This window comes from Homo sapiens, chromosome 12 (assembly GCF_000001405.40).
Source record: "Homo sapiens chromosome 12, GRCh38.p14 Primary Assembly".
In the NCBI taxonomy this organism is placed as follows: domain Eukaryota; kingdom Metazoa; phylum Chordata; class Mammalia; order Primates; family Hominidae; genus Homo; species Homo sapiens.
In genome coordinates this window covers 19,424,565-19,451,969 of record NC_000012.12, presented here as the reverse complement: position 1 = coordinate 19,451,969, position 27,405 = coordinate 19,424,565, and the positions used below count along the sequence as shown (strand labels likewise).

The following is a 27,405-nucleotide window of genomic DNA, read 5'->3' as shown; positions in this document are numbered from 1 at the left end:
CAGTGAAGCAAGATTGTGCCACTGCACTCCCGTCTGGGTGACAGAGCAAGAATCCATCTCAAAAATAAATAAATAAAAATAAAACAAAAGATGGCCACTTTAATGCCAGGTGCAGTGATGCACAACTGTAGTCCCAGCTACTCAGGAGGCTAAGGTGGTAGGATGGCTTGAGTATCAGAGCTCAACATTGCAGTATGCCATGACTGTGCCTGTGAACAGCCACTGTACTCCAGCCTGGGCAACCCAGCAAGCGAGACCTTGTCTCTTAAAAAAAAAAAAAAAATTAAAAGATGGTCACTTTTGAAAGACCCCATCCTTAACTCCTCTTATTATACAGCACTAATAGGTGTGGTCTGTATTACCTCCCCTTGAATTTAATCAGGCCTGAGACTACTGCAGAAGTGATGATGCCAGACTTCCAAGGCTAAGTCATAAAAGGGAACACAGTTTCAGCCTGGCTCGCTCTTGGAACACTCAGCTCGGGAGTCTTCAACCACCATTTAAGAAATCTGGCTCCCTTGAAGCCGCAAAGTGGAACAGATCCCGTGAAGAACATACACAGAGCTAGAGAGGGATGCCTGAGAAGCCCCAGCTGTTCTGACCCCCAGCTGTTTTGAGTCTTCCCAGCCCAGGCACCAGACATGTGACAGATACATGACATGAGTCAGTGGGCATTCTGATTCCAGTCCCCAGTCTTTAAGCTGCTTCCACGAGCTGATACCAAGTAGAGCAGAAATGAGCTGACCCTGCAGAACCCGGCCCAAATCATAGATTCATAAGTAAAATAAATGCTGTCGTTTTAAACTACTAAATGTTGGAAAAGGGCTGTCATGCAGCCATAATAACTGGAACAATGTTTGATGTGTATTAACTCTGTAATGCTTACAACTCTAATAAACTGTTATTCGTATCCTTTTCTTTCAGATAAATTAAGATTTGCCCATAGTCAAACAAGTGCAAAACAGTAATGCCAAAAAAAAAACTGTCATACTACTATATATTCAAAGGAGAAACTTGAATGAATTACTGATTTAAGAAATAATTGAAATACAGCCTATAGTATACATCAAAATGGCACTAATACTCCTTTAGTGCAACTAAAAAAAAAAATGACCCTTTTTTTTTTTGAGACAATGTCTCACTCTTGTCACTCAGGCAGGAGTACAGTGGCACAATCATAGTTCATTGCAGCCTCAACTTCCCAGATTCAAACGATCTTCCCGTCTCAGCCTCCTGAGTAGCTGGGACTACAAGTATGCACCACCACTACATCTGTCTTTTTTTTTTCTTTTTTTTTTTTTTGGTAGAGATGGGATCTCACTTTGTTGCTTAGGCTGGTCTCAAACTCCTGGGTTGAAGCTATCCTCCCTCCTCAGCCTCCCAAAGTGCTGAGATTACAGGCATGAGTCACCGTGCCAGGCTGACATTTTCATCTAGTATGCAAAACTTTTATCTAGTGTAGCACACAAGCAAAAGTTCTTTGGTTTTGTACATTCATAGTGCATAACACAAAAGAGATATTTAACATCTACATAAAATTTGACCCATTCAGGCAGACAGTTTTACTAAAAATAAAAACTATTAAATTTGATTCCTACACGTCAGTTAGCTTCATAAAAATTCAAGGTCATAGAAAGCAACACTGAGGGTAGAAAGAAATTGTCCCAAATTTAGAACTTAGGCCACTGAAACAGATTTGAGCCTAACAATGACAACATCAAATCCAACTCCAAACATTCCTTCCCAGGGCAATGGGGTGGTCACTTTTTCTACTTACGAAGGACAAAGAACAAATTATAAAACTGGTCTTAAACAGGATTAAGGAATTTAGACACATCAGATTCTGTAAGGCTACCTGATTTTGCTTTCAAAACTGCGGTGGTGCTGTAGGCTTTTTGGTCTATAAACTCAGTTAGGAAAAAAAAGTAAAGACAAGTGCCTATTTTATTACATCTGTGTGTTATAAATAAGTCAAATTTCCCTAAGGCCCTTCTTATTCATCTAAGGTGGAAGGAATTCTGCTCCCATATGATCCAGTTAATTTGTAGCCACCTATAAACCTCTATTCAGAGTAAACTCCCAAACCTAGTTAGAGCCTTGCACGTAGTAAATGCTCATCATTTTTAGCGAGAAACTTAAGTAGTATTTTTTAAGGCAAGTAAAATATATGGCTTTGTCACACTAAAATAATTCAAAAAAAATTAACTGGAAGCACACTAAAAATCATTAGCCAAAACCAAGATATTACCACTATTACTACAAGCTATTACCACTGTAATTTAAAAAGCTAAAATGAATTTTTATCATCAAGAAAAAGACTACTTTCTATCCCCACAATTATTTCTCTGGTTAAAGACAAACGATTTTCTTTCCTGAAGACCCAGCAGCATTCACTAAATTGGCCAAAAGGGACTTTATGCAACAATGATGAAATATAGTCTATGGAAAACAAGTAGGCTACATTCTTTTATCACCACTACGCACTGAGCACATTACTTTAAATTTCTCATATCAAATCTATCACCCTTTAAGATTACTTCACCCACATTTTTCATCCAGCTTAAAATATCAGCCAGCAATTGATATCTTCACAAACACTAGAAACATTCCACTTCAACACAATTACACTAAGGAAGTTATCTTTACCTTTTCACAAACATTTCCAGAGAAATGTATATACACAAAGATGGTATGTTTAAAAAAAGAAATCCACTATGAAGAACACCCCCCATTTAATAAAGAAGCAATTGCATCTGAAGGTTTAATTAGTATTAAATCATAAAAAGATCTTTCCTAAGGAAATTTTGAGGAAAAATATCAGATGATTTCAGTATGCATTTCTGACAAGAATGACTACTGTCATTCTTGACTGAACACCTCAAAACACATGTTGATATAACAATTTCCAAGATTAATTTAAAACACTAAAAAATCTATTGCCAATTCATCTACTCTTTGTACTTTAAAAAATATTTATGAAAAGTAATGATGGCCAGGTGTGGTGGCTCACACCTGTAATCCCTGCACTTTGGGAGGCCAAGGTGGGAGGACTGCTTGAGCTCAGGGGTTCGAGACCAGCCTGGGCAACACACGGAGACCCCATCTCTACAAAAAATGAAAAAAGCAGCTGGGCATGGTAGTGCATGCCTGTAGCTCCAGCTATTTGGAAGGCTGAGGCAGGACAGTCACTTGGGTCCAGGAGTTTGAGGCTGCAGTGAGCTGTGACGGTACCACTGCACTCCAGCCTGAGTGACAGAGCAAGACCCTGTCTCGAAGTACAAACAAAACAAAAAAAAACTGTTCTCTTTTTCTTTAATCAGCCACACTAATGAAACTGAGAAAGAAATATGCAATCAGGTATTTCCACATTAAGTTGAATTCAACCAATTACTGAGAATGAATACAGGCTACGACATACTGAGTGAGTGCAGAAGGCAAGTTCTGCAAGTATATATGAGACCTGATCTTTACTTTTTTTTTTTTTTGAGATGGAGTCTTGCTCTGTTGCCCAGGCTGGAGCACAATGGCACGATCTCAGATCACTGCAACCTCCACCTCCCGGGTTCAAGCTATTCTCCTGCCTCAGCCTCCCAAGTAGCTGGGATTACAGGCATGCGCCTAATTTTTGTATTTTTACTACGGATGTGAGCCACCATGTCCGGCCTGATCTTTACTTTTAAAATGTTATAGCCTAGAGGAAATAAACACAAATGGATATTTCAATACAACATCATAAATATGAAGTAGAAATATGATGACTTCTGGCAAGGCACAGTGGCTCACGCCTGTAATCCCAGCACTTTGGGAGGTCAAGCAGAGAGAATCACTGGAGCCCAAGAGTTGAAAACCAGTCTCGGCAACATAGCAAGACCTAGTCTCCATTTTCAAAAATAAAAAAATGTTTTAAAAAGAAATATGGTGATTTTTAAACCCAAAAGAACCTACCTAAGATATCCTTGAGATCCTGGATATAACAAAGCCACACACGGCAATATTCCGAGTTTGTCTAAAGAAGATAATCCATTATCTATTTGTTTAACTGTATTTAAAGTACTTGCCAACTCTACAGCAGCACCCTCGCATTCGAGCTCCAAATTACTTTATACTGTTTTGTCAAAAACCCTCATTTTTAAGAAAAAGAATCAATCTGAGCTTCACAGAAATAAACAATTTGCCACATTTCCTGACGGCAATAAAGTCAAGACTACAATACTGATCGCTTATCCTCAGCTGGAGTATTCTTTCCACTGCACCATCTCTGCATGAGAAATGGGGATATATAAATGACTCTACGAAGTAAATACGTAACCCCTTTGCATGTCATCTCACTTAATCCTAACACTGCTCCTATTTTACAGATAAGGAAGCAACTTCTGAGAAGTTAGATTACGTCCATGCTCTTTCACTACTCAATGTTCCTTTAGTTATTCTAGTGACGGTTGTGTCTGGAAAAACAATGCAAACTATTGTTCAAATTAAATCCTCAAGAAAACGTATTCAGAAATAACGTTTACATAGCCAGGTGCTACAGATAAAGTGCCAATCAAGATAGACATGGTTTTTCTTCTCAGGGAGCACACAACCCAGCAGTGGAGATAAATGGTAAACAATTACCCATATTGGGGTGAGGGCAAGAAAGAACTCGGAATGCTGACAATATGTCTAACAAGGAACCAGCCTGTTCAACGTAAGACTTGAATGTGAACTAGGGAATTACACAGAAAGAAAGTGAAGAGAATAAAAAGAATTTGATTCACAAACCTATACTGAGAGACGTACACACTTGTGTTGGCATGAAAGGCCTCACTTGCACCATTAATTCTTACTTCCCAGGTCCAGTGGCGCATCCTTAGATGTTGGCAGGAAGTCTCCTGAACATGCTACGCTCATTCCTGCCTACATGTTTTCAGTTAGGCTTTCTAGAATTCTCTCTTCATCATTTACGCAAGCCTAAAATCTGTCCCCCTTCCCACACAAAATCTTTAGTCACTAACTATACAACACGTTCCAACTCTAATTTTTTTGTTTTTTTGTTTTTTTGTTTTTTGTGAGAGTCTTGCTGTCACCCAGGTTTGACTACAGTGGCACAATCACAGCTCACTGCAGCCTCAGACTCCTGGATCCAAGTGATCCTCCTGCCTCAGCCTTTCAAGTAGCTAGGAATTGAGGCATGTGACACCACATCTGGCTAATTTTTTCATTTTTTGTAGATGAGATCTTTTTTTTTTTTTTTTTTTGGAAACGGAGTCTCGCTCTGTCGCCCAGGCTGGAGTGCAGTGGCGCAAACTCTGCTCACTGCAAGCTCCGCCTCCTGGGTTCACGCCGTTCTCCTGCCTCAGTCTCCCAAGTAGCTGGGACTACAGGTGCCCGCCACCACGCCCAGCTAATTTTTTTCTGTATTTTTAGTAGAGACGGGGTTTCACCGTGTTAGCCAGGATGGTCTTGATCTCCTGACCTTGTGATCTGCCTGCTTCAGCCTCCAAAAGTGCTGGGATTACAGGCGTGAGCTACCGTGTCCCGCCTGTAGATGGGATCTTGTTACACTGTCCTGGCTGGTCTCGAACCCCTAGGCTCAAGGGATCCTCCCACCTTGGCCTTCCAAAGTGCAGGGATGACAGGTGTGAGTAACCATACCTGCCTCCAGTTCTAATTTGAATGCACCATGTCGCAATTTACAGAAAAAACAGAATACAATAATCTCTTTAGCCTGCTCTTTAAAAACAAAGTATCTGAGGAGATACCGTCATGTTTCTTATCACTAAATGGGGCGCAATGGGTCTTAGTATTTAAGACCAATATAATTACTACTTTCACAAATACAAACTATTCATCGCAAAAATAAATTAATCATAGGTTAGACCACTGCCATTACTAGAAAACTTATTCCAAAACTTTTTACCAATAGATAACTGGCATGCTTGCTTCAGCAACATATATGATAAACTTGGAACAATACAGAGAAAATGAGCATGGCCCCTGCACAAGGATGACATGCAAATTCATGAAGCATTCCATTTCTTTTCTAATTGTTTTTAATATGTACGTTCAGCTAGTTATCGTCCAAAAAAAAGAAAGCTAGTTATATTTTTTTATAACTAGCTGCACGTACATATTAAAAACAATTTAAAATGAAAGGTTTCATATGAAGGCTTTTAGGCCCACCACAGAACAGTCATAGAAAACTGATTAAAATGTACATGCTGTAATCAAATATTTTAGTCTACCATATCCTTTTGCAAATTTCTGCAACACTCATTTGCAGACTCTTGTCATACATCTAACACCTGATTGATACAGTACTTTTGGGCATTCCAGATCGTACAGCACTTCACAATAACAGACGTTACTAGCTATTATCAATTCATTTGTGCAGTGATTCTCTCTGCCACTCATGAGGTAAGGGTTTTGTTTTATACCCTGCTGTATCCCCAGCATTTAGAAGAGTACCTGGCATGAGGCCGGGCACGGTGGCTCATGCCCATAATCCCGGCACTTTGGGAGGCCGAGGCAAGCGGATCATTTGAGGTCAAGAGTTTGAGACCAGCCTGGCCAACATGGTGCAACCCTCTCTACTAAAAATACAAAAAAAAAAAAAAAAAGAAAACGAGCAGGGCACGGTGGCATGCGCCTGTAATCCCAGATACTCAGGAGGCTGAGGCAGGAGAATTGCTTGAACCCGGGAGGCAGAGGCTGCCGTGAGCCAAGATCGCACCACTGCACTCCAGCCTGGGTGACAGAGTGAGACCCTATATCAAAAAAAATAAAGCATCTGTCACATAACATGGATTCTATATACATCTGTAGAATATACCCATCACACAGTAAACACTTAATGAACGTGTACCAAATACTCTACAATTCACATTGCAATCTTACAGGATAGGAACCATTATTGTCCCCCTTTCATAGACAAGAGACCTCAAGTAGTAAGACGTTAAATAAATACTACTGTTGGGCCAGGTGCCTGTGGTCCCAGCTACTCAGGAGGCAGAGGCTGCAGTGAGCTGAGATCGCGCCACTGCACTCCAGCCTGCGTGACAGAGCAAGACTCTGTCTCAAAATAAATACATAAATGCATACATACATACTACTGTTGGTATTCTCAATTTAATGCTAGTAATTAATGGAGTATTCACCACACCCAAGATATTATGTTAGGTACTTACAAAGATACTAAAAAAGCAAAAATGTCCCTGCCCTCCAAAATACCATTCTACAACAGAAAAGATGCACGCATTCAAGCAACGTGGATGGATTCCTCCAAACAGTTCACAGCGCTCTTTAACAGAAATTATTTCACTTGAACCACAAAACAACACTTCAGAGTAATACCTGTTTTGTAGTTGAGGAACTAAAGTTCAAAGATATACTACTCAAAAATTGAAATATAGGCAGTAATATTAAGATTTGCGCCAGGTCTGGTGGTTCATGCTCAGGCTAGTCTCCTGACCTCATGTGATCTGCCCTCCTCGGCCTCCCAAAGTGCTGGAATCACAGGTGTGGGCCACATGCCTGGCCAAGAGTACTTTCATATATTAACTGATTCAATAGCTAGTACTAATTTGTTAACTAACTCCACGGGCATTTTAAATATTAAAATTCCATTTAAAAGCTAATTTACTACTTGAACTTGAGACTGTCTTCTATTTTCTCGGCATTAACTTTTTTAGCATAAATACACGTTCAGTAACAAGTGCTGACATTTGATCACTTTTTGGATGACTCATTCATTCAACCATATTTTAAACTATTTTTACATGATACTGTGTTGGAAGAATGAAAATAAAATTATGTTTAAAATTTTTTAAATTTTTTTTAAAGTTACCATAGCCTCTGAAATTAACCTAAGAGCATAACTTTTTTAAAAAGTACTTCAGCTTCACTGAAGAGAAAAAAAGTTCAGAGTAAAGAAAAGCTAGTTTTTAGCGGTTTCACATAGCTAAATACTTCTCCCTACTATCTTTATAACCAAAATACTTCTCCCTACTATCTTTATAACCAAAGTAAAAATAAAATTACATATAAATTTCAAGAATTTCTAAATTTACTAAAATAAACACGCTATAAACTTACACTGGTTTTGAAAAACTTTCTTCTGGGGGGAAAAAAATCAACTTTTTGTACCAAGTGGTATTTAATCATTTCATAAATTAGTCACTTTTTACCACAAAACCTTCCAATACCATAAATGACATCTCAGGTCATAACCTCTAATATCTATGTCTTTATATTTAATTATCTTTTTTTGAGATGGAGTCTTGCTCTGTCGCCCACGCTGGAGTGCAGTGGTGCAATCTCAGCTCACTGTAACCTCCGCCTCCCAGATTCAAGCCATTCTCCTGCCCCAGCCTCCTGAGTAGCTGGGATTACATGCCTGCACCACCATGCCTGGCTCATTTTTTTGTATTTTTAGTAGAGATGGGGTTTCACCATGTTGTCCAGGCTGGTCTTGGAATTCCTTGACCTCAAATGATCCACCCGACTCGGCCTCCCAAAGTGCTGGGATTACAGGGGTGAGCCACCATGCCCGGCCTAATTATCTTTTTAAAAGTAGCACTTAAGATATTTAACATGGCCTGCGGTGGCGGCTCACTCCTGTAATCCCAGCACTTTGGAAGACCCAGGTGGGAGGATCATTTGAGGTCAAGGAATTTCAAGACCAGCCTGGACAACATGGTGAAATCGCATCTCTACTAAAAACAAAAATTAGCCAGGGGTGGTGGCACTCACCTGTAATCCCAGTTACTCAGGAGGCTGAGGAAGGAGAATCGCTTGAACCCACAAGGCAGAGGTTGCAGTGAGCCGAGATCGTACCACTGCACTCCAGCCTGGGCGATAGAGTGAGACTCGTCTCAAAAAAAAAAAAGAAAAAGATATTTAACAAAGATGTTCAACAAATTCTAGAGCATATCAGATAAACTAAAAAGCACAACGTAACCAAAACGATGGGAAAGGTAAATGGGCATTATAATAGAATCTTTGTAATAGGAATGCCTAAAAATGTTATAGAGCACTTTAAAACTAAGATTATCCTTCCACTGGTTACAAAAATGAAGTTTTCTTACCATGAAATCAACCTATAAAATCCACAGATTGATGTAATCTACAGTAATTTATAAGAATTAGGGATCCTTTCCAAACTCAAAATAACTGGGAGAAAAATCTCAAAGGCAACAAGAAGATGTTTCAGAATTAAGATTATTAAGACCCCAAGCCAGTTTCACTAGTAAGCCTTCTTCATACAAGTGACAAATCTATTACCCTGAAATGGTGACATTAAAAACAGTATTCTGTAGTCTCTAAAATTAAGCATTAAGAAAACCAAGTTTGCTTGGTTATCAAGTTTTAACTGTAGTTGGATTTGTGACACCCGTATTTTACTTCTTATTCTGAAATAAGATGTAAAAATTATATACTCAAGTAAATATCTCATTAATGTCAAATAAAAGCCACAACTCCACTTCCTAAATGTACTTAACCAATAATTCGTCTCCTGAAGTGATGTAGTAAATGGACACTAACTAAAAACAAAACTCTGACACATATCACTTGGTTTTTTTTTGAGACGGAGTCTCGCTCTGTCGCCCAGGCTGGAGTGCAGTGGCACCATCTCAGCTCACTGCAACCTCTGCCTCCCGGGTTCAAGCGATTCTCCTGCCTCAGCCTCCCGAGTAGCTGGGAACACAGGCGCGCGCCACCACTCTCGGGTAATTTTTGTATTTTTAATGTAGATAAGGTTTCACTATGTTGGCCAGGCTGATCTCAAACTCCCAACTCAGGTGATCCGCCCACCTCGGCCTCCCAAAGTCCTGGGGTTAACAGGCCTGAGCCACCGCGCCCGGCCTCAACTTATTTAAGGCGAATTATTTTAACTCTTCAGTGGAAATAATAGGGGACTTGAGAACCTTTGCTCATATCCAGCCCACCATTTCCATGCTGTATTTACTGTCCTGAGTAAGATACTCAACTTGCTTCTTCATCTGTTAAACAGAAGTCAAAATAATACCTATCTTGCACCATAGTTGTGGGAATGAAATGGAAGACATCTAATTTGTACAGTGGTAGGCAAGCATAATACGTGTATACTGAGTAAATGAAAAACGCTGATTTTATAAACTAATGTCAACTTTCAGATATGTAATGGTATCAGAGGAGCATAAAATGGTAAAAATAGCACATGCTTCATTGTGCAGTTTACATCAATTTTTAATTTTCTTGAAGACATTCTCCTTCCTACCCATGCCTACACAGTTCAACACAATTTTTCTAAGGTTTATACAGTCTACTTTACCCGAAGATATTTTCTTAACTAGACGTTAATGTCAAACAGAATCTAATGCCAGATTTTCAAAATATCCAGGACTCTGTATTACTTGTAGCATTAAATACTAAGGTGTTCGTTTTTAATCAATTAATCAGAATTCCTAGAACTTTAGAATATTAAACTCTTAAATGAAAATCACTATCGACCACTAAAATTTCCATTGCTATACTTTTCTGGAGAGCATGTTTAAAAAAAATGTGATTGTCAAAACATAGATGGTCAAAATAAACGCTAATACACTTTAGAAGTGGCATAATATGCATGTGATTCTCGTTTTTTTAAAAGTACATTAAAAACCAACTAACCCAAACAGATCAAAAGTAATGATAAGACAATTGAAACATACACTATCACACTTTTTAAATGTTCTGAAAAAATGCGCATTTTTGTCACTCTCCAGTTACTTCTAACAAGCTTTAGTAAGAAAAATAATACTCATTCCTTCCGAGACCTCTCCAATGCATGACTTTAAATATTATCATTTAAAATCATGACTCTCATGTTGAAACATTACTATAAAGCCGCAAACTACGTTGTACCTTCAAGACTGTATTTTGTTACGATTCCAACTCTCTGATTCCGCAAAGTTATCTTAAAAGGCCATCAATTCACTATTCTTTTCCACAACCATTTATACGTGTTTAAAACTTTTTCCCAGATATGCTCCCAAAACAAATAGAAAAGATTGTTAAAATCACGTTGGAGACCACATGACTGACTACAAATGAGGGATTTGGGAGGCAATGATTTAATATAAAAGAACAGTCCTTTTTTTGTTTAAGTAGAGAAAAGTGATAGCTGGGGTCTCTCCCATGGACAAGGAAGTTCTGTTAAATCCAGGCGAGACCAGCCATATTGGAAACACTTGTCAATTGTAGTTCTGACAAGTGTTCCCGAACACGGTTGGAAGAAGCTAACCTTGAGTACCGACGTGTGTACATCAAGGCCCTCTTCTGCTCCGCCAGAGGATCTGGGCCCGTTTGGGGACTGTTTCCGAGTTAGAGCCGTCCTGAGGTCCGTGAGGAGCGAAGCGCCGAGGGGAAAGAGGGCGGGGAAAGGAGAGTTGGGGGGGAACGGTTTGAGAGTTGGAAGCCGCGATGCGCTGCGAGAGGGGCGCGGCGGCGACGGCGAGAGATTTCCGAGTTGAGAGTCTGGGGGAGGGGCCGAGGATTCGGGGAGCAGGGGGATCGCGGCAAAACGTCGCCTTGGTCCCCCTCTGAGGGGCCCGGGAGTTCAAGAGGAGGAAGGGAAGGGGAAACGCTTCAGAGCACTGACCTGTCCTCCGAGTCCATGCGGCTCAGGGGTTCCCCATCCGACGACATCTCCAAGCTGCCCCGCCGGCCCCCGGAGGTCGCGCTGCTTCCGCCTCCCCCAGTCCCGTAGCCCTCGTCGCCGCCGCTGGAGACTACGCTGCTGCTACTGCTGCCGCCCCCGCCGCCGCCCTGGCTGCCCCGCGGTCCCTTGGGCTCCTCCAGGCCCTCCTTGCCGTCCCCATCCCCGCTGCTGCTGCTGGCGGCGCCGGGGCTCAACGAGCGGGTCTCGTCGCTGCTGCTCCCGCCGCTGCTGCCCACCAGGCTCTCGGCGCTACTCTCCTCCTCACCCCCGCCGCTGCTGCTGCTCTCATCTTCCTCCTCCTCGTCGTCCTCCTCCTCGTCTTCGTCCTCCCCGGCCTGGCTGGCGCTCTCGGGGCTCGGCTCCGACATCGTCTCTGCCTCGCCGCCCCCCACTCCTCCGCCGCCGCCTCCGCCGCCCCCACCGCTGCCGCCGTTCAGCAGCAGCGCCGCCACCGCCTCGGCCTCCGCCTCCTCTTCCTCCTCCTCCTCTTCCTCCTCCTCCTCGGGGGGCTCAGCCCGGCCCCGCGCCGCCGAACCCGGGCTGCCGGGGGGCAGAGGGCTCAGGCGGGAGAGCTCCTCCAGGTCGGCCATGTCGGTGATAGCGGCGGCCATGGCGGCGCCTGCTCCTCCTCCTCCTCCTCCTCCCCACCGCCGCCTCCCTCTCTCGACTCTCTCTCCCTCGCCCCCCTCCCAAACGCCCAAAACTCCGCCGACGCCGCTGCAGAGCAGGAGGAGGGCCCGCGAGCTGCGTCAGCCTGCACACGCGCTACGGAGCCCGCGCGGGGACAGGCGCGCGACTACGCGCACTCACACGGAGACTGCTGCGCGCCTGCGCGGCGGCACGAGGCAGCACCTCCCCCGGCTGCGGGTTCTGCGCCCCCGCCCCCGCCCGGCGCCCGCCCCGCTGCCCAGTGCCCGCCCCCGCCCCCGCCCCGGCGCCTGCAAGTGCTCAGCGTTTCCTCGGGGCCTTCCCACGCCCTGCCGGGCTTCGAAGCCCAGGGACACGCGGACTGAAAACTCCAACGCTGGCCGGGGATTTTAGCAGCCTTCCGAGTTCTCACGATAAACTCATTCATTCCGGGGGTGTTTGAGGAGTGTCCCCTCTGTACAGGAGCTGAGCCAGGAATAGAACGAGCCTACAGTCTACGAAGAGAGCGGTTTAAAATGGGCAAAAATTAAAACACTACGGTGTAAGGTACTAAATTTTTATGCGCAACACAGGGCGACAGGTTTTAATACACCCTATGTTTGAATACCCCTGGAGATGTTGACATCCTGAACCCAGAGCAAACATCTTGGTTCAGGGTCCTCAAACTTTTTACTTCATGAGCCTTCTAAAACAATTTCGTAAAGCTGTGTATGTTCTTATACAGTTTAGAATGACAGCTACATTTTTCCGGCTTATAAATATTTCATCTGTCGCATTGTTTAAATACTGTATAGCCAATGGATTCTAAATACCATAGGGATTTAACACCCACTAATATCCATTTTTTTAAAATACAGTTTGGAAAATACAATTTCCAAATATTGTTTTCTGGAACTCATATTGACGTTGCATATCTCCTCTAGAATTTTATCCTAGTAATATATTTTATATTTGAACTATTTTGATCGTCTTACTTGTAATAAAAATGTGAACATAAATTGAAGTATCTGGGTTGTTTTTTATATTTTCTGTGATCATAAAGCTCTTATTTCAACCGATCAAAACAAATCTATTTCAAATGTTTGTAAGTACTAAACACAAAAGCAAAATTTTATTGGCAATGCATCTTGCAGAAATGAACTTGGGTGGACTTTTTTCTAATATACATTATGACCTTCAGTGGATGGATTTTTTTGAGAAATAGTTCAGCATCAGTTCTATTCCAAGTTTTCAATTCCATGGATATAAGTGTTGAGAAAACTTGTTCGCATAAAAAAAGCAGATGAGAATGAATGGAGTTTTGTTATAGTAATGCCACACAATTCTTTGAATGCCTTTCGCATTATATGCCCAAAAATCGCATAAAGATCTAACAAAGAAAAAATACTTTTAATGATCTGTCAGCTGACAACTCTGATTAGGTTCTCTTTCAACTTGTTGAAAGCAAGCAACTGAAAACCACCTGACTTGTGAAAGGATGTGTTACCCCATTCTTATTCACCAGTCAATTGTGCCTTTCTTTGGTGTCCTGGAGGTTTTTGCATAACCGGGTATTGCACCTTACTAAGATTTAGCATGAGGAAGAATTATGCCTTTCTTTTGTAAAGTAGGGAAGAGGTCATTGGAAGAAAGGAGACTGGAAAAGAGCCCACATTACACCCTGACCCAAGGACACATTTTCAGGCCAATTTTAGGGATGCTTCTACTCAAGGAAAATGAGGATAGAACTGACTGCCTGAAAACAGAGCCTCCATGCTCATTTCCCATTTGGGAAAGTCGTCATATACCGTGAGTACCCAGTATTACATCCTCTGCCTTAGGCCTTTGGACAACTGTTATATAAAATGTTGCCTCTAAGGGAATGCAAAAATAATAACATGGGACATCATTTACAGATACCTTCAGAGGCACATACAATGTAAGGTATTAACTTCCAACATTTTAAACCTCAAAGGCAATCTTAGATAAGGAATGTATTAAAGTGAAATACACTGTAAACTGTAAATTAAAAACTATCAGAAGGCCGGCAGGGTGGCTTATACCTGTAATCCCAGCACTTTGGGAGGCCAAAGTAGGAGGCTCACTTGAGCCCAGGAGTTTGAGACCAGCCTGGGTAAAATAGCGAGACCCTGTCTCTACGGCACACCTGTAGTCCCAGCTACTCAGGAGGCTGAAGTGGGAGGTTCACTTGAGCCCTGGAGGTTGAGGCTGCAGTGAGCCATGATCATGCCACTGCACTCCATACCTTTCCTCACCCATCATAAGGGTCATGGCCAACACTTCTACAACAAAAGACAGGTTAACAAGAGAAAAGTGTAACAAATTAATTTAATGGAAGTCTTATGTGACACAGGAGCCTTCAGAAGTAAAGACCCAGAGAAAGCTGTCCATTTGTATGCCTAGATTCAACAGAGTGGACATCCATGTAGAAATGTGATTGTACAAAAAGAGAATGAACTAATAGTAATAGACTGAGTGTGGAAACCCAGCAAGGCCTGTCCAGATTCGTCTTGACCTCTCTGTGTAGCATTCCTTCCACACCCAGGTATAGAGCAGACTTCTCTGGAATGAGAGTCTTCAAATGAGAAGGCAGAGAGTGACCTTTCTTCGTTTCATGGCTTACTTTGTGGGGAAAGGAGTTCTGGTTTATATGACTAGCCTAGGGTGAGTAACAGGGATAGGAGACAGCAGGACAGAGGTTCAGTGAGAGACTTTGCTTCTCAGGCTTTCCAATCTCCTTTAGTTCAAAGTACTCAGCATGGGGGCCAGGTGCAGTGGCTCACTCTTGTAATCCCAGCACTTTGGGAAACTGAAGCAGGGGGATCACTTGAGCCCAGGAGTTCGAGACCAGCCTGAGCAATGGGATGAAACTCCATCGCTACAAAACACTTTTTTTTGTTGTTAACTAGCCAGGTGTGGTGGTGTGCACCTGTAGTCCCAGCTACTTGGGAGGCTGAGGTGGGAGGACAGCTTGAGCCAGGAGATTGAGGCTGCAGTGAACTGTGAGTGATCAAGAGCCATTGCACTCCAGTTTGGGCAATAGAGTAAGACCTTATCCCCCCCCCAAAAAAAAAAGAAAAAAGAAAAGAAAACAAAAGAAAACACAAAGTGTTACCAGAAAGGGGCCCCGATCCCGACCCCAGGAGAGGGTTCTTGGACCTCACACAAGAAAGAATTTGGGGTAAGTCCATACAGTAAAGTGAAAGCAAGTTTATTAAGAAAGTAAAGGAATAAAAGAATGGCTACTCCATAGACAGAGCAGCACTGAGGGCTTCTGGCTGGCCACTTTTATGGTCATCTCCTGATTATACGCTAAACAAGGGGTAGATTATTCATGAGTTTTCCAGGAAAAGGGTGGGCAGTTCCTGGAAATGAGGGTTTCTCCATTTTTTAGACGATAGGGTAACTTCCCGACATTGGCATGGCATTTGTAAACTGTCAAGGCACTGGTGGGAGTTGTCTCTTAGCATGCTAATGTATTATAATTAGCACATAATGAGTAGCTACGATGACCAGAGGTCACTTACATCGCATCTTGGTTTTTGTGTGTTTTGGTCAGCTTCTTTACCACATCCTTTTACCAGCAAGGAGTTTGTGACCTGTATCTTGTGCTGACCTGCTATCTTATCCTAACTTAGAATGCCTAACCTCCTGGGAATGCAGCCCAGTAGGTTTCAGCCTTATTTTACCCATCCCGTATTCACGATGCGAGTCGCTGTGGTTCGAACACCTCTGACAAAAGTACTCAGCATGCCAAAGCACCATACTTTGGGGTATCATTTTCTGAGCCCCAACAAATGTATGTGCCAGACACTGTGTTAAGCCCTGGAGATTATGGTTCATGTTTGGCCGAGTTAATCAAGGAAAGCTTCATGAAAAATGTAGGATTTCGACAAAGTGTATAGTAAGACATACAATAACTATATCTGGTTTCATTAATTTGAGCTGGATTTTGAAGAGCGAACAGAATTCTGTGTTGGGGAACTCAAACTGAGAAGCAATATACGGAAAAGCATCAACATTTATTCATGACAAGGTTAATTAACCATAAGAAATCATGGCAAGAAAGCTAAAAATAGTTAAATATTAGATTGAAGAAGGACATGAATAAAAAGTTGATGTTGGGGACCAGTCACAGTGGCTCATGCCTGTAATCCAGCACTGTGGAGAGCTGAGACAGACAAATCACTTGAGGTTACGAGTTCAAGGCCAGCCTGGCCAACAAGGTGAAACCCTATCTCTACAAAAAATAAAAAAATTAGCCAGGCACAGGAGAATCACTTGAACCCGGGAGGTGGAGGTTGCAGTGAGCCGAAATTGCGCCACTGCACTCCAGCCTGGGTGACGGAGCATGACACCGTCTCAAGAAAAAAAAAAAAAAATTAGCCAGTCATGGTGGCACACAGCTATGGGAGGCTGAGGTGGGAGGATCACCTGAGCCTAGGGAGGTCCAGGCTTTCAGTAAGCCAAGCACCACTGCACTTCAGCCTGGGTGACAGAGTGAGACTTTGTCTCAAAAAAAAAAAAAAAGTTCTGACAGGTATGTACTAAGATATTTTAATAAAGGTATGATATGATTAGATTATATTGTACATCTGTAGAATCTAATATATAGGAGATAGGATGAAAAGTGTGAAAAGTTCCAGTGAAGGATTTATTAAGGGAAAAAAAAAGTGTCAAAAGTGAATGGAGATTAGACACATGGAAATGGCAAGTATCAAAGCCACAAACGAATATTTTAGCTGTGGTATTTATACTTGAAGACTAAAATGAACTGTCTCGGAATTGGCATTTTGCAGAAAATTGTGTTTCCCATCACTGGAGAGTTTCCCTGTCTTCCTCTTGGTTTAGTTGCAGACATCACTGCTCTGCATGCATCTCCTTAGAACAAGGCCACACTCCTCCATAACCACAGTGACAGGATGTCATTATTTCACTCTCAAAATTTAAATAACTGAAGTGTTGAACTAGAGCAGAACCTCTGTGTGACAGTTTCTTTTGGCAGCATCAGGTGACAGGTTTGATGATCCTGAGGACCAAAGTCATTCCCCAGCTCAGTACCCATTCATAAACTGTGCATTCCCGGTTTGTAGCTACATAGGTACTAAAAGTAGCTTTCATAAACTTTTATAAACTTTTATAACAACTTGACAGAGCAGTTTTATGTCTGCATAAAATTACTAATCTAAGGGCCAGGCACAGTGGCTTACGCCTGTAATCCCAGCACTTTGGGAGGCCAAGGCGAGTGGATCACCTGAGGTCGGGAGTTCAAGACCAGCCTGACCAACATGGAGAAACCCCATTTCTACTACAAATACAAAATTAGCCAGGCATGGTGGCACATGCCTGTAACCCCAGCTACTCGGGAGGCTGAGGCAGGAGAATCGCTTGAACCCGGGAGGTGGAGGTTGTGGTGAGTGAAGAGCACACCATTGCACTCCAGCCTGGGCAACAAGAGCAAAACTCCATCTCAAAAAAAAAAAAAAATTACTAATCTAACAATAAAAAAACTAGAGTTGGCTGGGCGCAGTGGCTCATGCCTATAATCCCAGCACTTTGGGAGGGTGAGGTGGGTGGATCACAAGGTCAGGAGATCGAGACCATCCTGGCCAACATGGTAAAACCTCGTCCCTACTAAAATAAAAAAAATTAGTCGGGCATGGTGGCGTGTGCCTGTAGTCCCGGCTACTAGGGAGGCTGAGGCAGAGGAATCACTTGAACCCAGGAGGCAGAGGTTGCAGTGAGCCGAGATCGCGCCACTACACTCCAGCCTAGGTGACAGAGCGAGACTCCATCTCAAATAAACAAACAAATAAATAAATAAAAATTTAAAAACTAGAGTTTATACTTTTTTTTTTTTGAGACGGAGTTTCACTCTTTCACCCAGGCTAGAGCAAAGTGGCATGATCTCGGTTCACTGCAACCTCCACCTGCCACCCTCCCACCCCTTTCCACCCACGGTTCAAGTGATTCTCCTGCCTCAGCCTCCCGAGTAGCTGGGATCACAGGCGCCTGCCATCACGCCCAGCTAATTTATGCATTTTTAATAGAGATGGGGTTTCATTATGTTGGCCAGGCTGGTCTCAAACTCCTGACCTAATGTGATCCACCTGCCTCAGCCCGCCAAAGTGCTAGGATTACAGGCATGAACCACCGTGCCTGGCCTTAGAGTTTATACTTTCTATGTCATCAGTTATTTTATTTTATTACACTGGGAATTCATTTTTACTGTATTTTACAAAAGTACCAGTCCACTAGAATTTTTTGTTTTTTTGGAGAAGGGGTCTCACTCTGTCACCCAGGCTGGCATGCAGTGGTGAGATCCTGGCTCACTGCAACCTCTGCCTCCTGGGTTCAAGCAATTGTCCTGCCTCATCCTCCCAAGTAGTTGGGATTACAGGCATGCGCCACCACACCTGACTCATTTGTTTGTATTTTTAGTAGAGACAAAGTTTCACCATGTTGGCCAGGCTGGTCTCGAACTCCTGAACTCAAATGATCCGCCTGCCTTGGCCGCCCAAAGTGCCAAGATTATAGGCGTGAGCCACTGTGCCCAGCCCAGAAATTTTTTTTTTTAAATACTGGTCTTTCACAAATTGAGAATCACTGTTCTACAGTTCTTTTTTTCCAGCTTGGTGAACGTGTGATGCTATAGGTAATTGTAAGTTGCCCAATAACACACTATTGCATAAGGGCTATTTGATTAGGAGTCATATTCAAACTCATCAACCACAGCACTGATGGGGTCAAATTAGCAACAATAATTTGAATTTCATTGGTTCATCTACCTACCAAGCCTACTAAGGTAGTCAGGACATCTCCAGCCTTCTGGGAGTCCCAGAAGGGCAAGGGTCTCTCACTAAGTCAAATCCTCTCCCAGGACCCCTTCCTCTGCTCTGCTATTCTAGGTACTGCAGACACCTACCAGGATTTGTGTGTGTGTGTTTACTTTGTCTTCTGGGTTTTCTTGAGACAGGGTCTTGCTCTGTTGCCCAGGCTGGAGTGCAGTGACGCAATCATGGCTCACTGTAGACTCAACCTTCTGGATTCAAGCCATCCTCCCACATCAGCCCCCTGAGTAGCTGGTACTACAGGTGCATGCCATCATGCCGGGCTAATTTTTGCATTTTTTGTAGAGATGGGATTTTGCCATGTTGCCCAGGCTGGTTTCTAACTCCCAAGTTCAAGCGATCCGCCCAACTTGGCCTAGCAAAGTGCTGGGATTACAAGCATGAGCCACCATGCCCTGCCAAAATTTGGGATACAAACAAAACAGCCAAAGTCATAGTACAGTCAGAAGAAATGGAGATCATTGTGTTAGGGGAACCCCGAAGCAGACTGCTTGTGCCCAATATCATATGGTTTTTAGTGAAACAGCCCTTTATGTTTTTACTCAGAGCTCTGTTTCTCTTAGGGATCCAGACATGCTTTCATGGGCCTAGACTGGCGACAGATTTGAGTAACAGCTACCCCACGCTGCATTTGTTACTCTCCATTCAATGACTAAGTCTTTCTTGTAGGGCTTCTCTAATTCTCTCTTCCACTAAAATGAGTTCTGTTCCAGGAAGCAGCTTCAGCCCCCATGGCAGCAGGTTTCTTGTAGTCCTGCCTCGCCAGTTTGCCAGACATGCCCAGACATGCTTGAGCCCAGCAACAGACCCAGCTTAGACTGGAGCTGAGATTCCTACTATACTACAAATGACATACTTCTGAAAAATTCTCTAAAATTGGCAGCTGTGTTACATTTTGCACTTTTATTTTAGGCTCCTTTATTTAGGTTCTGTGTGTTGATATTGCCATGGTGAGCAAGATCAATAGCAGCATAATGACCTCATTCTCTGAGTGACTTGGACTTTAAAGAAAGTATGCATAAAAAGAGATAACATCTTACAGGATGATGGAAATGATAGGATCTTAAAGCTGGAAAGAACTAGAAATCTGATGCAAGTTTTCCCATTCTGTAGATTGTAATCCAACCAAAACATGACCAAATAATGATTATAGTTTTTGAGTTAAAGTCTATCAGTATAGCCATTTTGAAACTTAACTGCTTTGGCTGACACCCGTCCACCATAAGGAGGTCATATGTAGGTGTAGTATTAGTAGTTCTCACTTTGAATTTAGTAAAATGCCTTTTCTATAAACTTCAGATAAAAAGATAGGCAAAATGTGAAAGGTGAATAGCATAGCTGCCACATTTTTTGTCTTTTCGTGTATTTTATATCTGACTTGCCAAAAAACTTCATGTGATGTTCAAAACTCTCTCGATTATTAAAAAAATTGAAATTGACAGATTGTTTATTGTAACATACAAGTCACAATACCAGTTAGTACTTTATCCATCAAATCCCTGGGAAGGTAGGGTAGAAAAACCTAAACTTAATATTTAATAAGTGAAATATAAAATAAAAGTCTATCAGCAGTCTGGATAAATCAACTTGGCCTTCAGCCAAAATAAAGCAACCAGCCCTCCTTTCTTAAGTATGTATGGCAGCTATTTTCCTTGCTAGCTTTAGTCATACCCCTATTTTTCCTCCTTTTTCACTTTCTCCCTTATTTCTTTACTTGCCTGTATATCTATTTTGTCATGTCTACATCTTGGTAAACTACCTTAAATAATCCTTAAATAATTTTTTTCTTTTTTTTTTTTTTAGACAGGGTCTGGCTCTATTGCCTGGACTGGAGTGCAGTGGCTCACTGCAACCTCAACCTCTGGGGCTCAAGCTATCCTTCTGCCCCAGCCTCCTGAGTAGCTGTAACTACAGGAATGCGCCATCACACCCAGCTAAAAATCTCCTTAAGCTCATAAGCAACTTCAGCAAAGTCTCAGGATACAAAATCAATGTGCAAAAATCACAAGCATTCTTATACACCAATAACACACAGACAGAGAGCCAAATCATGAGTGAACTCCCATTCACAATTGCTTCAAAGAGAATAAAATACCTAGGAATCCAACTTACAAGGGATGTGAAGGACCTCTTCAAGGAGAACTACAAACTACTGCTCAATGAAATAAAAGAGGATACAAACAAATGGAAGGACATTCCATGCTCATGGGTAGGAAGAATCAATATCGTGAAAATTGGCCATACTCCCCTAGGTAATTTATAGATTCAATGCCATCCCCGTCAAGCTACCAATGACTTTCTTCATAGAAATGGAAAAAACTACTTTAAAATCCGTATGGAACCAAAAAAGAGCCTGCATTGCCGAGTCAATCCTAAGCCAAAGGAACAAAGCTGGAGGCATCACACTACCTGACTTCAAACTATACTACAAGACTACAGTAACCAAAACAGCATGGTACTGGTACCAAAACAGATATATAGACCAATGGAACAGAACAGAGCCCTCAGAAATAATGCCACATATCTACAACTATCTGATCTTTGACAAACCTGACAAAAACAAGAAATGGGGAAAGGATTCCTGTTTAATAAATGGTGCTGGGAAAACTGGCTAGCCATATGTAGAAAGCTGAAACTGGATCCCTTCCTTACACCTTATACAAAAATCAATTCAAGATGGATTAAAGACTTAAATGTTAGACCTAAAACCATAAAAACCCTAGAAGAAAACCTAGGCAATACCATTCAGGACATAGGCATGGGCAAGGACTTCATGTCTAAAACACCAAAAGCAATGGCAACAAAAGCCAAAATTGACAAATGGGATCTAATTCAACTAAATAGCTTCTGCAGAGCAAAAGAAACTACCATCAGAGTGAACAGGCAACCTACAGAATGGGAGAAAATTTTGCAATCTACTCATCTGACAAAGGGCTAATATTCAGAATGTACAATGAACTCAAACAAATTTACAAGAAAAAAAAAAAACTCCCATCAACAAGTGGGCGAAGGATATGAACAGACACTTCTCAAAAGAAGACATTTATGCAGCCAAAAGACACATGAAAAAATGCTCATCATCACTGGCCATCAGAGAAATGCAAATCAAAACCACAATGAGATACCATCTCACACTAGTTAGAATGGCAATCATTCAAAAGTCAGGAAACAACAGGTGCTGGAGAGGATGTGGAGAAATAGGAACACTTTTATACTGTTGGTGGGACTGTAAATCAGTTCAACCATTGTGGAAGTCAGTGTGGCGATTCCTCAGGGATCTAGAACTAGAAATACCATTTGACCCAGCCATCCCATTACTGGGTATATACCCAAAGGATTATAAATCATGCTGCTATAAAGACACATGCACACGTGTGTTTATTGCGGCACTATTCACAATAGCAAAGACTTGGAACCAACCCAAATGTCCACCAGTGATAGACTGGATTAAGAAAATGTGGCACATATACACCAAGGAATACTATGCAGCCATAAAAAAGGATGAGTTCATGTCCTTTGTAGGGACATGGATGAAGCTGGAAACCATCATTCTCAGCAAACTATCACTAGGACAAAAAACCAAACACCGCATGTTCTCACTCATAGGTGGGAATTGAACAATGAGAACACATGGACACAGGAAGGGGAACATCACACACCGGGGCCTGTTGTGGGGTGAGAGGATTGGGGAGGGATAGCATTCGGAGATATACCTAATGTTAAATGACGAGTTAATAGATGCAGCACACCAACATGGCACATGTATACACATGTAACAAAACTGCACGTTGTGCACATGTATCCTAAAACTTAAAGTATAATGGAAAAAAAAAATTGTAGAGATGGGGTTTTGTCACGTTGCCCAGGCTGGGCTCGAACTCCTGGGCTCAAGCAGTCCTCTCACTTTGGCCTCCCAACGTGCTGGAATTACAGGCATGTGCCACCAGGCCCCGCCTAAATGATTTTTTAAAGTACATTTTCTTTCCTTTTTTTTTTTTGAGATGGAGTTTCACTCTTGTAGCCTAGGCTGCAGTGCAATGGTGTGATGTCGGCTCACTGTAACCTCTGCCTCCCAGGTTCAAGGGATTCTCCTGCCTCACCCTCCCAAGTAGCTGGAACTACAGGTGTGCACCACCACACCCAGCTAATTTGTTGTATTTTTAGTAGAGACAGCGTTTCACTATGTTGGCCAGGCTGGCCTGAAACTCCTGACATCAGGTGATCCGCCCACCTCAGTCTCCCAAAGTGCTGGAATTACAGGCGTGAGCCACCGCACCCAGCCTTTTGTTTCTGTTTTTGCAGAACCTGCTAATCCTCCTTCCTCCTCCCTAACACCACATGTGTCTGATTCCTATCTCCTTCCTGTTCATGGGCTGGGACACAGACATGATGGTGAAGGTGAAGCAACCTCAGCCATGCATACCATCACCACATTGGAGAAGGACAGAACCACAAAAGAAACATGGACCTCTAGATGACCTCATTTTGCAATGCCATCCACCCCGTGGACTGAAAACTCAGACATTTTGTAAGGGAGAAAGAAATCTTTTATCCAGTTTGTCTCTTTTATTTTTTTGAGACAGGGTCTTGGTTTTTTGCCCAGGCTGGAGTGCAGTGGTGCAATCTCGGCTCATTGCTGCCTTGACCTCCCAGGACCCAGGTGATCCTCCCGCCTGTCTCCCAAGTAGCAGGGACTACAGGCACATGCCACCATGCCAGCTAATTTTTGTATTTTTTTGTGGAGACAGAGTTTTGCCATGTTGCCCAGGCTGGTCTCGAACTCCTGAGCTCAAGCGATCCACCAGCCTCAGCCTCTAAAAGTGCTGGGATTACGGGAGATCACACCATTGCACTCCAGCCTGGGCAACAAGAGAGAAACTTCGTCTCAGAAAAAAGAAAAAAAAAATCCTAATTAGTGCAGGTAAAATAAACACACAAATGTGATTTTTTTTAATTCCCAGAAAACGGAGGCTCTGAGGAGTAAAATCCTTCAATTTCCTGTCCTTCCCACCCTACTATCTATAAACTCATCTCTGTCCTTGCCTATTGTTTCCTTCACTATAAAAGCCAAAGCTTTCTACTATGACAGACTCTTAGGTGTTCTAAAAAAAATAATAAAAATACTATGTTTGTATGTATGGTTTTTTGCCTCCTTGTTTTAGGGAATTTTAGAGAAACAAGGGCAATAGGAAAGGTTACTTATTATGGAAATTCGCTCATAGAAGTCCAGCAACCTACTGTCTACAAGCTGGAGAACCAGGAAAGCTGGTTATGTAATTCAGACCAAGTTCAAAGGCTGAGAATTGGATGGAGTCACTGGTATAAGTCCCAGAGTCTAAACCAGAAGTTTCAAACATAGGAGAAGATGCATGTCACACCTCAAGAACAGAGAGAGTTCACCCTTCCTCTGCGTTTTTTTTTTTTTTTTTTTTTTGAGACAGACTCACTATGTTGGCCAAACTGGAAAGCAGTGGCACATTCTCGGCTCACTGCAACCTCTGCCTCCCGGGTTCAAGAAGCGATTCTCCTGCCTCAGCTTCCAGAGTAGCTGGGGCTACAGGCACATGCCAACACACCTGGCTAACTTTTGTATTTTTAGTAGAGATGGGGTTTCACCATGTTGGCAAGGATGGTTTCAAACTCCTGACCTCATGTGATCCACCCACCTCAGCCTCCCAAAGGGATTACAGGCGGCATAAGCCACCGTGCCCGACCTTCCTCTGCCTTTTTATTCTATCGAATCCTCAGTCAGTTGGATAATGCTTGCCCACAAATCCTCAATCAATTGGATAATGCTTGCCCACATTTATGAGTGTAGATCTTTACTCAGTTTACAGATTCCAACACTAATCTCTTCCAGAAACGTCCTCACAGACAGTCTCAGAAATAATGTTTTTTGGTTATTTTGTTTGTTTTTGAGTCTCGCTCTGTTGCCCACGCTGAAGTGCAGTGGCATGATCTTGGCCCACTGCAACCTCCGCTTCTTGGGTTCAAGCGATTCTCCTGCCTCAGCCTCCTGAGTAGCTGGGATTACAGGTGCACACCACAGCCGGCTAATTTTTGTATTTTTAGTAGAGATGGGGTTTCACCATGTTGGCCAGGCTGGTCTTGAACTCCTGACCTCAGGTGACCCTCCCTCCTCGGCCTCCCAAAGTGCTGGGATTACAGGAGTGAGTCACCACGCCTGGCCAGAAATAATGTTTAACCAGCTATCTGGGCACCCCTTAGTCCATTCAAGGTTGACACATAAAATTAACCATCACACCTCTCTTCTTCGGTACATGGCAGCTCAGCTGGAGACCACATTTCCCAGACTCTTTTATGCTGTCTTACACCCAGTTAATTAACCTAAGCATATTTAGTTAATCTAAGTGTTGGAATTTTTTAGGTAGATAACAGTAGTTACCAAAGAATTGTGAATATAACCGATTCTGTAAAGTCAGTGGAATTTCAGCTCTCTCCTCTGTCCTTTTAGGTGCTGTTGAATGACAGATGCACTCAAGACAGACAAACACATTTCAGGAGCAGTATCATGTGCCCTCTAGTCACCATCATTGAATTAGAAATCCCAACATAGGGTCGGCTGCGGTGGCTCATGCCTGTAATCCCAGCACTTTGGGAGGCTGAAGTGGGTGATCACTTGAGCTCCGGAGTTTGAGATCAGCCTGGGCAACATGGTGAAACCCCGTTTCTACAAAAAATATAAAAATTAGCCAGTTGTGGTGGTGCACGCCTGTAGTCCCAGCTACTCAGGAGGCTGAGGTGGGAGGATCGCTTGAGCCAGGAGGCAAAGCTTGCAGTGAGCCATGATGGTGCCACTGCATTCCAGCCTGGGAAACAGAGCAAGACCCTGTCTCAAAAAGAAAAACAGAAATCCCACCATAGGACAGCTTGGGAATCAAGCATCAGAAAGCATCCTAAGATATCAGATAACAAAATTTGCTGTTCATGCAAACATAAGGAAAGTCTCCCAACTATTACAGACAACCCTCGTACCTTGAATACCTTTAATTCCACTTTTTTTTTTTTTTTTTTTTTGAGATGGAGTCTCACTCTGTCTCACTCAGGCTGGAGTGCAGTGGCAGGATCTCGGCTTGCTGCAGCCTACACCTCCCAGGTCAAGTGATTCTCCTGTCTCAGCCTTCCAAGTAGCTGGGACTACAGGGGTGTGCCATCATACCCGGCTAATTTTGTATTTTTAGTAGAGACAGGGTTTCAGCATGTTGGCCAGCCTGGTCTCGAACTCTCAAACTCCTGACCTCAGGTGATCCACCCAGCTTGCCTTCCCAAAGTGCTGGGATTACAGCATGAGCCGCCAGACCTGGCCTAATTCATCTATTTGATCCACCCAGCTCGGCCTCCCAAAGTGCTGGGATTACAGGCATGAGCCACCGTGCCTGGCCTAATTCCACTATTTCTAATATTCATCATGCTATTTAACAAATCACTAGCTTCACCAATACAAAACACATTTTAACATTCAAAATACCAGCTAGCATGATGTTATAGAGGTATTAACAGTAGAAGAATTTATTAGCAGTAATCTCTGTGTATGGTCCCTTTCTGATGTAATGCTAGCTTGACTTCCTTTCCCGTGTGCTGGAACAGGACTGTGTCGTTGACCCACCTTCAACATGTAGAGACAGTGAAGCAACAATATGGAAGGAAGGTGGGTCCCTGAGTGACTTGTGGTGCAAAGTTGCATGCCAGTTTAGTGGCTAGACTGTTACATGACAGAGAAAAATAAACCTCTATCTTATTTAAGCTACTATATTTTAAGGTCTTTGTTTGTTTGTTTGTTTTGAGATGGAGTCTCACATTGTCACCCTGGCTAGAGTGCAGTGGCTCAATCTCAGCTCAATGCAACCTCCACCTCCTGGGTTCAAGTGATTCTCCCGCCTCAGCCTCCTGAGTAGCTGGGCCTACAGGTGCACACAACCATGCCTGGCTAATTTTTTGTATTTTTAGTAGAGATGGGGTTTCACCATGTTGGCCAGGCTGGTCTTGAACTCCTGACCTCAAGTGATCCACCCACCTCGACTTCCCAAAGTGCTGGGATTGTAGGTGTGAGCCACCACACCTAGCTAGGGTACTTTTTTTAAAAAATGACATCTTAGGCCGGGCGCGGTGGCTCACGCCTGTAATCCCAGCACTTTAGGAGGCTGAGGCGGGCGGATCATGAGGTCAGGAGATCGAGACCATCCTGGCTAACAGGGTGAAACCCCGTCTCTACTAAAAATACAAAAA

At 42.9% G+C, this 27,405-nt stretch overlaps 1 protein-coding gene and 1 pseudogene across 8 annotated transcripts in view, besides 10 other annotated features; one reads left to right on the top strand and one right to left on the bottom strand.

Moving 5' to 3' along the window:
- AEBP2 (AE binding protein 2) overlaps positions 1 to 27,405 on the bottom strand; it is a 118,156-nt gene that overhangs the window by 70,258 nt on the left and 20,493 nt on the right. For 4 of the 8 annotated variants that reach the window (NM_153207.5, NM_001114176.2, NM_001363736.2 and 1 more), the window contains exon 1: positions 11,600 to 12,478. The exons of 2 other annotated variants lie outside the window; for them this stretch is intronic. In NM_153207.5, coding sequence (NP_694939.2) covers positions 11,600 to 12,270 — 671 coding nt within the window. In that variant the 5' untranslated portion in view covers positions 12,271 to 12,478. Of the gene's footprint in view, positions 1 to 8,730; positions 8,847 to 11,242; positions 11,372 to 11,599; positions 12,479 to 27,405 lie in introns of those variants that run through there. 2 more of the 8 variants (NM_001267043.2, XM_047428298.1) reach the window with 2 other exon arrangements.
- RNU6-254P (RNA, U6 small nuclear 254, pseudogene) lies at positions 5,915 to 6,021 on the top strand (annotated as a pseudogene).
- Positions 11,221 to 11,310: an enhancer, noted in NCBI's record as "active region_6079". NCBI's record gives its function as "activates an Ori minimal core promoter by ATAC-STARR-seq in GM12878 lymphoblastoid cells {active_cell/tissue: GM12878}" and the evidence as "EXISTENCE:reporter gene assay evidence [ECO:0000049][PMID:35858748]".
- Positions 11,341 to 11,390: an enhancer, noted in NCBI's record as "active region_6078". NCBI's record gives its function as "activates an Ori minimal core promoter by ATAC-STARR-seq in GM12878 lymphoblastoid cells {active_cell/tissue: GM12878}" and the evidence as "EXISTENCE:reporter gene assay evidence [ECO:0000049][PMID:35858748]".
- Positions 12,041 to 12,140: a silencer, noted in NCBI's record as "silent region_4285". NCBI's record gives its function as "represses an Ori minimal core promoter by ATAC-STARR-seq in GM12878 lymphoblastoid cells {active_cell/tissue: GM12878}" and the evidence as "EXISTENCE:reporter gene assay evidence [ECO:0000049][PMID:35858748]".
- Positions 12,151 to 12,300: a silencer, noted in NCBI's record as "silent region_4284". NCBI's record gives its function as "represses an Ori minimal core promoter by ATAC-STARR-seq in GM12878 lymphoblastoid cells {active_cell/tissue: GM12878}" and the evidence as "EXISTENCE:reporter gene assay evidence [ECO:0000049][PMID:35858748]".
- Positions 12,361 to 12,610: a silencer, noted in NCBI's record as "silent region_4283". NCBI's record gives its function as "represses an Ori minimal core promoter by ATAC-STARR-seq in GM12878 lymphoblastoid cells {active_cell/tissue: GM12878}" and the evidence as "EXISTENCE:reporter gene assay evidence [ECO:0000049][PMID:35858748]".
- Positions 17,301 to 17,400: an enhancer, noted in NCBI's record as "active region_6077". NCBI's record gives its function as "activates an Ori minimal core promoter by ATAC-STARR-seq in GM12878 lymphoblastoid cells {active_cell/tissue: GM12878}" and the evidence as "EXISTENCE:reporter gene assay evidence [ECO:0000049][PMID:35858748]".
- Positions 19,503 to 20,702: an enhancer, noted in NCBI's record as "MED14-independent group 3 enhancer chr12:19584202-19585401 (GRCh37/hg19 assembly coordinates)". NCBI's record gives its function as "activates an origin of replication core promoter dependent on BRD2, BRD4, P300/CBP and CDK7 cofactors, and independent of MED14, by STARR-seq in HCT116 cells {active_cell/tissue: HCT116}" and the evidence as "EXISTENCE:reporter gene assay evidence [ECO:0000049][PMID:35650434]".
- Positions 19,643 to 20,374: an enhancer, noted in NCBI's record as "H3K27ac-H3K4me1 hESC enhancer chr12:19584530-19585261 (GRCh37/hg19 assembly coordinates)". NCBI's record gives its function as "activates a minimal SCP1, AML or CMV promoter by ChIP-STARR-seq in primed H9 embryonic stem cells {active_cell/tissue: H9 hESC(primed)}" and the evidence as "EXISTENCE:reporter gene assay evidence [ECO:0000049][PMID:30033119]".
- Positions 19,781 to 20,050: an enhancer, noted in NCBI's record as "active region_6076". NCBI's record gives its function as "activates an Ori minimal core promoter by ATAC-STARR-seq in GM12878 lymphoblastoid cells {active_cell/tissue: GM12878}" and the evidence as "EXISTENCE:reporter gene assay evidence [ECO:0000049][PMID:35858748]".
- Positions 20,071 to 20,130: an enhancer, noted in NCBI's record as "active region_6075". NCBI's record gives its function as "activates an Ori minimal core promoter by ATAC-STARR-seq in GM12878 lymphoblastoid cells {active_cell/tissue: GM12878}" and the evidence as "EXISTENCE:reporter gene assay evidence [ECO:0000049][PMID:35858748]".